The 8,971-nt window shown below is 43.6% G+C and overlaps 1 long non-coding RNA gene across 1 annotated transcript; it reads right to left on the reverse strand.

Moving 5' to 3' along the window:
- Window positions 1–3,276: 3,276 nt before the first annotated feature.
- On the reverse strand, window positions 3,277–7,837 carry LOC124904578 (uncharacterized). Its single transcript, XR_007067009.1, has 3 exons — window positions 7,293–7,837; window positions 3,450–3,455; window positions 3,277–3,321 (listed from the first exon to the last, which is right to left on the reverse strand). It is a non-coding gene; the product is annotated as an uncharacterized LOC124904578 (long non-coding RNA).
- Between the last annotated feature and the right edge of the window lie 1,134 nt (window positions 7,838–8,971).

Consider the following 8,971-nt stretch of genomic DNA (forward strand, 5'->3'; position numbering starts at 1 on the left):
AAGCATTATCAAAGAGGCCAATGGACGGAGCTGCCATGTTTGATGCATACAGTCTCTTTGATCGATCACAACATGAAGGCCTTTGCTTCAGGCACTCTGCTCTAAAGTCTGGCTGGATTTTCTGCAGGAAAGTAGAACTTATTTGGGAAAACATTGGAGGGGCATTTGCTGCTCAGCAGTGGCCTGCAAGATAGGTTGAAATCTCAACCCACACCAGTGGTGAATGAGTAAAATACCACAAAGGCCATTCAACTGGACATCTCTTTACTATCCAGCAAGGACTCAAAGGGCAGTAGGACTGTGTGCTGTGAATGTCCAGCTCCCAGTAGAACCCTCATTTTTCCACAAAGAACTGGGAGTTGGCGCTAACTGAGCCCCAACCCAAGTTATCCTACACAGGAAGGGAGCCAGGTGCTGGGTTTTCAAGACTCAATCCTATACCCAGTTACACTGCACAGAAGGAGGATGATCAATTAGCCTCATTAGTAACTTCCCTATCAATACAGATATGGGTTCCAGAGACACCCATCTAACCAATAGCTGATGACCCTATTGATTAAACAAATTCGTATCATTTCAAGTGAAAATAATCATCCAAACAAAATACCAGAAAGAGCTAGACTTGAAAATCTTTCAGCAACTTATCACACATGAGAATAGAGCTGCAGAAAAGATTTTAGTGTAAATACTGTAATTCTGCCAGCAATTAAATAACCTCAAACTGACTCATTATCTTCAGAGTAACATGTTAATAATTTAACTGACAAACATTTCATAGGTTAATTCTGAAAAGAGTTAAGCATAGATAGATTTAATTGATCTCATATTTACACTAGTTTTTGCGCTTTTAACTTCAAATGATTTTTTGAAAAGTCAAACAGCGAATAGACATGCCGCATAAATGGTGAAATGACAATGTCATCTCGAAATCATTTGGGGAGAGGAACTCCATGATAGCACATGAGGATGAAAGAAGACAAAAGTCACTGCACATAGCTATGGCAATGGTGTGTCACACTTAGGTGGGAAGGGGTCCTCTGATGGGAAAATTAGGTATCCATCATTTTGCTATCCCTTTAGTTCATTTAAAAATTGGCAAGTGTGTTATCTTATAAGATGTCTCTGGGTGCTTTCTTCATATGTGCATGTCTTAGACATGCTATGTGCTTGTAAATGGAACTGGTGTTCAAACAATGATTCACAGTATTCAGGGTAAAAAGTTAAATTGGACCCTTTGACCTTGTCTCAGAAAAGCATTTAATATGTAGTCCCAAACTGTCCACTCTTCAATATGACCTACTCCAGACCCTGGAGAAAGAACAAGTGCAGCTTTAATTGTTATTCGAAGATGTACCTGGTATCATATTTCACCTAAATGCTTTCAGCACTAGGTCCTTTGGACAGCTCCACAACAGCACAAATGTTCCTCTCCCGGAGTAGATAATTCCCTTCTCCAAAAGTAGATTCTGCCATCTCCCCCCTTATCCTCAGGGTGAGCCTCTGCCAGAACCCAGTGGGGTTCCTGTCTTTCTCCTCCTGGTTTTATTAGAGAAAACTCCAATATGCAAGCTGGACCGCACCTTCCTACCCCCAGCCCTCACCGTACTTCAAAGTAGACATGTGATCAACAGCCCCTGATCCCATCTCTTGTCTTCATTTGTTTCAAGAAAAAGATGGATATTGGCTCCTAATTAACCCACCTAACCCTGCAGTTTTTAATATCTTTGCTTTAGTGAAATTCTAGGTTAAGGTTAATGATTGAACTCTGCTTCTAAGCATGTTCTTTCAGAAGGTAATTCATGCATATGAGAGGATGGGTATGAGGACATAACATGCCTGGGCCATAGGGTCACGGCAATTTGAAACAACTTTTATCAGGGAAGAGGGCTGGAGTTTGGGTCAGATTCTCAGCTAATTACACACTTTATTCTGGGACTGATTAACATTCAGAGTCTGCCAAAGCTGCAGGGGAGAAAGAACATGGTAAGAAGAGGTGTTTGAACTAAACCCTCAGATGTCTATTGCATAGAAGGAAGCCTTATGCTTAGGGATGGATCCAGCCATGACTCTAATTTTCCTCTGTGAGCTTTAAGAATTAACCTTTTCATTGAGAGCTCAAGAGTGAGTACTGTTGAAGGAGAAGAATGTCACGGTGTGGTGAGTGGAGGCCAAGACAGCCCTGGGTGTGTGGCTTGGCTGCTTCCTCTGAGAGGCTGAGGAGATGGAGGGTTTCCACATAAAACCCCCCCAATTAAAAATTCCTCCTGTTCTTAACAATACTCAACTCCAGCATAGATACAAGCATCATTTCTTGGCTGTGTTAATTTTTAATAAGCTAGTTGCATCCAACCTAATCATGCCACTGAGGGCAGTTTGTATATTTTACAAGCACAAATAAATCCCTTCCCAGTCTGCAAGCTCCTTGGTGGCCGTTTGCAAGGGCCTTTGGGTAGCATCTTTAAACTTTCATCTCCTGTAGGCATCCCTGACTTGTAAGTACCATTGTTGCTCGAATAATTGAATCTATTTAAAGAAATGAAGTCAATTAACTTTTCAGTTTATGACCAAGAAATAATTTCACTGTGTGTAGTCAGATTCTGCTAAGTATCTGGGGAATCAATTATTGTTTAGAGCTCAGAAAAATCCAAACAGGATCCTAAACTATATTGGGCAGCCCCTACCGTGGCATTCAGCATGGTCACTTTGGAGCCTGGCCTTGATGGTGAGACACCAAACATTGAAAACACTACAGAGGTAACATCTTTAAGCTAGAAACAGATTTTTTTTCCTGCCAAAATCCTCATGCAAAACTTGTGATTTGGATATTTCTGCCTCTATGCTCTAGCTTGCACGTAGTTCATTTTTTCTGACTTGGTGGACCTTGCTTCCTTCTGTAAGAAATGCAATACCCACCTAGGTCTCTCTTTAATCTTGTTTTCTTTCTCTTTGACTCTATGTTCACATTTAGGTATAAGTAATGAATGAGACGTTTTTAAAAAGTGAGATTTTGTGGGGATTTGTATTTTTAATAGGAAATTATATCTGAGAATATAAAGAATAAAATGTGGGCCATTGGAATATTAGGCTTGATAACGAGCTGAGAAGAGCTCTACAGACTGCTGTGGGTACCAGCTGAGCTCCCTGTGGGCTGAACCCACAGATTTTCCTCCTTCCTCCGACAGTGGTTCACAGCACGGGCAAGCGTCTGAGAGGGGTGATGACTAAACCCTCTGTACTTTCTCACTCCTTGAAGCAGAATTCATCCTCTGATGTCAACAGAATGTTCCCTTTGACAATGCCACGAGAAAGGAAATGCCAAGCCTAGGGAGGGTTTTCCAGTGAGCCATGAAGACCCACTTTGCTCCAAGCCACTTACCTTCTGGTTTCTTCCCAGGTCCCAGAGTTGCCCCTTATATTAGTCCGTTTTCATGCTGCTGATAAAGACATACCTGGGTCTAGGAAGAAAAAGAGTTTTAATTGGACTTACAGTTCCACATGGCTGGGGAGGCCTCAGAATCATGGTGGGAGGCAAAAGGCACTTCTTACATGGGGGTGGCAAGAGAGAATAAGGAAGGAGCAAAAGCAGAAACCCCTGATAAACCCATCAGATCTCTCAAGACTTATTCACTATCACGAGAATAGCATGAAAAAGACCAGCCCCCATGATTCAATTACCTCCCTCTGGGTCCCTCCCATAACACATGGGAATTCTGGGAGATACAAGCCAAGTTGAGATTTGGGTGGGGACAAAGCCCAACCATATCACCTGCACCACAATCCCACACTGCCTCTCCCTCCTGTTGCCAGTTCTCAACACTTGAGTGACTTCTGTGTCCCAGGGACTGTGATGGGCACTGAGGATGGAGTACTGAGCGAAGGCTGGCATGCTCCTGGATGCCACAGAAGAAACTCTGGAGGAGAAGAGATGTGAATCCAGAAGCACACTTATCTCTGCTGTCTCTGCCTGCCCCTTGGCAGCCTTCTCAGAGTGCACCTCTTGTCTGCCCATGCTGTCGATGTTTATGTGCAGGGTCCTCTACTCTTTTTACTCCGAGCATGTGATCGAGGTGGTCCATGGTCTTCCTCTCTGAGCACTGTTATTTCATTTCACTATCAATTCTATGCCCATGAATCCCACATCTGTGTCTCTTATCTACCCATCCTCTCAAACTCCAGATGTGTTTCTAACACTTTTGAATAGACATCTCCACTTGCATGCCCCATCTGCTTCTCAAACTAAACATGCCCAAACTCTACTTAGTCATTTATGAACATGCTGCCACCAGTTGCCCTGCATTCAAACTAAAGGCATGGGTGTCACCCAAGTCTCTTCCCACTCACTCTTCTTGTATCTCCAATCCATCACAAAGATGCCAACTTTACCCCCTAGGCCTCTTACATTTCATTTCTTTCATTCTTATTCCTTAATAGATATGTTTGTTCTCTCTGCCTGTTCTTTTTCTTATTCCTCCATCTTTGCTTGTCTATCCCACCCTAAGCCACTAGACAGCCTTCACGAATGGCACCTCCTCCGTGAAGCCTTCCTTGAATCTACACCCCCTGTAATCTTCTCTTTATATGAACCTATCATCTCTTCCTCCTCTCTTGACACATATTTTTGGCCTTCTTATATAAGAATTATTTGGGCACCTGTTTTGACCTGCCTACTATTTTCCTGAGGAAGATCATGCTGTTTTCATCTCTGTGTTCCCCTTACCTATGGCAATCCCTGGCCCATGACTGTTATGTGAGCAGCAGGCAACACTAGGCTAAGACCAGGGTCAGGAGGCTCTGTAGAGGAGAGGAGACAGCTGCCCCAGCTGCCTCACTGTTCTGAAGAGACACTGAGGGGAGAGCTGGCATTCTGGGGTGGTCCAGCTGCTGTATTGCATCTGGCTGCTGCCTCCGGCCCTATTGGCTGAGATTGGAAGAATGTAATCCTGGGGGCTCAGAGCCCAAATCTCTCCATCCCATCTTAATACCATAAAGATTACCCTGAAGCACAACTAGGTTTGATGTCACAGGGATCATATGGTGACGTGCAAAAGCACCCAGGGCTAATGCATTTAACTGTGGCTTGGACTGACCAGGCAAGAGTAAGCCAATTGCGAACCAGTCCTCAGGCAGGTGAATCTGGGGTAGAACAGGCACTACACTGCAAAAGAGGCTGCAGCCAGGAGTACTGAAGCCATGAAGGCAAAATCGTGGTCCACACTGGGGCTGCCTTCCCTGGCTCTAAGATCTTCAGGTCCAAGAGGATGGAGTCACTGCTTTCCTTTATCATCCATGGTGAGCTACAGCCAACTAGGGGGCATGTCAATGGCTCCTCTCCTGCAAGGGGAACTCGAGGAAGGGTCCTACCTGGAAATGCTTTCTGGAAAAATATGTTCCAGAAAGATGCATGCTTTATGAGGCTGGGGTCATCAGGCAGCCCCAGGCTGGTTTAGGTTTGGGATGTTGAAAAGGTCGTGTGAAAGGTAGCTCATGCATAAGGCAAGGTAACATTTCCCTGATCCTGGGATTTGAGCAATGTTCATCTCCCTCTATCTCTGAGTCTGTATACATGGTGAAATTATTTCTTGGTCATAAACTGGAAGTTAATTGGCTCCGTTTCATTAAGTGGCTCTAATTATTTTAGCCCCAGCGAAGGTTCTGGTGATAGTTACTAATGAGGGTGCTCTTCCTTGTCTCCAGCCTCGGGGACCCTGCTGGCACCTTAGTGGCCTGCTTGAGTTGATGCAGCTTCGAAGCAATAACTAAGAGGCCCTGGGGGGATGCTCAGGCCAGGGAGGAAAAGAATCAACAGAACTGCGGCCTTGGGAGCAATTGCCTGGATGAAGGCATTCATGTACCTCCTGGCTGAATTAGAAATGGGTTTAGAACTTTATCCAACAGCATAAACCAGTGCAAGGCATTCTCAGCAAAAGGGAGAGGCAGAGGGCCGTGGCTGGGGATGGGGCCTAGAAAGGGCCGGCGGTCCGCATCTGGTGACGATCTTGGGGATTTGGTCCAGAATCGAGGCTCCTGGGAATTCGTAAGGTTGGCCATGTTCCTGGAAGGGACACAGAGCCATGTCCTAAAGACTATTTTCTCTTCATTAATTTTATTCAAGAACCACCTATAAGCCTGTAAATGAATAAATGATTATACTAAGTGAATAAGAGAGTTACTGAGAATTAACTATTCTCACATGTCTCATTCACAGGAGAGAATTTTTTTTTGTACGGTTGACAATGTTGTTTGGTGAAATAACTAACTGACACTAATTTTTCCATCCTGAAACTAATTCCTCAAATCCAAAATTTCAGTTTATTCTTAATCCCTTACTCTTGAGTCCAATTGATGATGCTTAGATTATGGGAGTATTTTGAGGTATCTCATTCTTACATAATTTGAAATATACTTAGAAATGTGTTAGAAGATATTGGAGAGAGTGGGGTGTGTATGTACTTGTGTCTCAGTGGCTACAATAACTATTTTTACAGCATGAAATGGCACTAGTGACAGAATGAAGGATGAGACGATGATGCTGATAATGGCAATAATGGTAGCTATTGGGACCTCTGGGCACACTGTTATGATTCTTCCTATCCCAGTCCCCCATCCCCTGGAATACGCCACAAATAGAGAAATAACATAAAGAAAAATGAGCCAGCCGGGTGCGGTGGCTCACGCCTGTAATCCCAGCATTTTGGGAGGCCGAGGCGGGCGGATCACGAGGTCAGGAGATCGAGACCATCCTGGCTAACACAGTGAAACCCCGTCTCCACTAAAAAATACAAAAAAATTAGCCGGCCGTGGTGGCGGGCGCTTGTAGTCCCAGCTACTCCGGAGGCTGAGGCAGGAGAACGGCGTGAACCCGGGAGGCGGAGCTTGCAGTGAGCCCAGATCGCGCCACTGCACTCCAGCCTGGGCGACAGAGCGAGACTCCGTCTCAAAGAAAAAAAAAAAAAAAGAAAAGAGAAACAAGCCATTGGAAGATGAAATGTGAGCACATCACCGGCAGAGGTCAGTCTAGAAGATGCAGCTCCAGTTCCAATAGCCTCAAAGCCAACCGCGTCAAGTAGATTTGCCCACCCAGCTCAGGACTCCTGTGTTTAATCGTGGAGGAGCAGAGAGCATGTGCTCTTCCAGAGACAGCCTCAGTTTTATCACCCCAAATTTACCAATGAGATAGGTCACACATCTTCCTGGGGAAGAGAAGAGGGCATAGGCGCAGAGAGAGGTCAGGGGTTACAGACGGAAGACCCCTCTGCGCATGGAAGGAAGCATTCTGGCGAAGGAGTGTCTACCGAAGCCAGGGGACAGCCAAGTGCCGCATTACTGCTGGGACTCCGTTACTTCTCATTTCACCACGGCCTAGATGTAGGTGTCATTGATCCTGTTTTAGAGATGAAGAGACTGACATGGTCAGAAAGTTAGATGACTTGCCCAAGGTCACACAGCTGGGAAGTGATGGGATGGGGCTTGAACTCAGGCATTTAAAGCCTTGAGACTTTCTGGATCTTGAATGTTTCTACCTGAAGATTGTGCAGAGCTGTGATTCTCAAAATGTGGCATGAGGACTCCTGGGAGGTCCCTAGACCCAGTGGTGGGTGGGGGTCTTCAAGGCCAAAACTGTTGTCTTCCAGATACTAAGATGATTAAGATATTACTTGTCCTCTTCACTCTCATTCTCTCTGGGGTGGAGTGGGGAGTTTCCCAGAAGCTACATGACATGGACTGTCACAATGAACCAATTGTGATTCACTGGAGAAGCAGCTATGGATTCATCTGTCTCCTGTTAAACCAGAGATTCAACAGATTTGCAAAATTTTTGATATAACACCACTCTTCTCATTAATTTTTTTGTTCCATAAAATATAGTTGTTTTAGTAAAAACGTTTATATTACTATGTAAAAAGCTCATATGTTTAATAAAAAAATATGTTTTTAATTCTCAGTTTTAATTTCTAATATGATAAATAAGAATAGACATAAATAAAAACTCTGGATCCTCAATTTTTTAAATAACTTATAGAAGTCCAGAGACCAAAAACTTCGAGACCCACAGGTATAAATCCCTGCATAAAACCTATGGCCCTGTTGGGCATTCACTTCTGCTCAGGCCTCCAAGAGATGAGTTTAGTCACCAGCCAACCAAAAGCAAATTTTGAAGAGTGGATTTCAAGAAGGCAGAGAGAAAACCTGGGATTTATTTTTTTTATTCCTTTTCAACTTTTATTTTAGAATCAGGCAGTACATGTGCATGATGCTGAGGCTTGGAGTAAGAATGAACCTGTCACCCAGGTAGTAAGCATACTACCCAGTAGGTAGTTTTTCAGTCCTTCCCCTGCCCTTCACCCCCACTAATAAATCTCAGTGTCTATTATTCCCTTATTTATGTCCATGTGTACCCTATGTTTAGCTTCCACTTGTAAGTAAGAACACATGGTATTTGATTTTCCATTTCTGCATTAATTTGCTTAGGATAATGGCCTCCAGCTGCATCCATGTTGCTGCAAAGACCATGATTTCACTTGCTATAGCTACATAGTATTCCATGGTGTATACGTGCCACATTTTCTTTATTCAATCCATCATTGATAGACACTTGGATTGATTCCATGTCTTTGCTATTGTGAATAGTACTGTGATGTACATAGCATGTATCCTTTTGGTAGAAGGATATATTTTCCTTTGGGTATATACCCAGTAATGGGATTGCTCTGTCGAATGGTAGTTCAACTCTCAGTTCTTTGAGAAGTCTCCAAATTGCTCTCCACAGTGGCTGAACTAATTTACATTCCCATCAACAGTGTACAAGTGTCCTTTTCTCTTCGACCTTGCCAACATTTGTTATTTTTTGACTTTTTAACAAAACCATTCTGACTGGTATGAGATAGTATTTTATTGTGGTTTTTATTTGCATTTCTCCAACAATTAGTGATAATGAGCATTTTTTCATGTTTGTTGGACCTCTTGTATGTTT

Source organism: Homo sapiens, chromosome 1, assembly GCF_000001405.40.
Source record: "Homo sapiens chromosome 1, GRCh38.p14 Primary Assembly".
Lineage (NCBI taxonomy): Eukaryota > Metazoa > Chordata > Mammalia > Primates > Hominidae > Homo > Homo sapiens.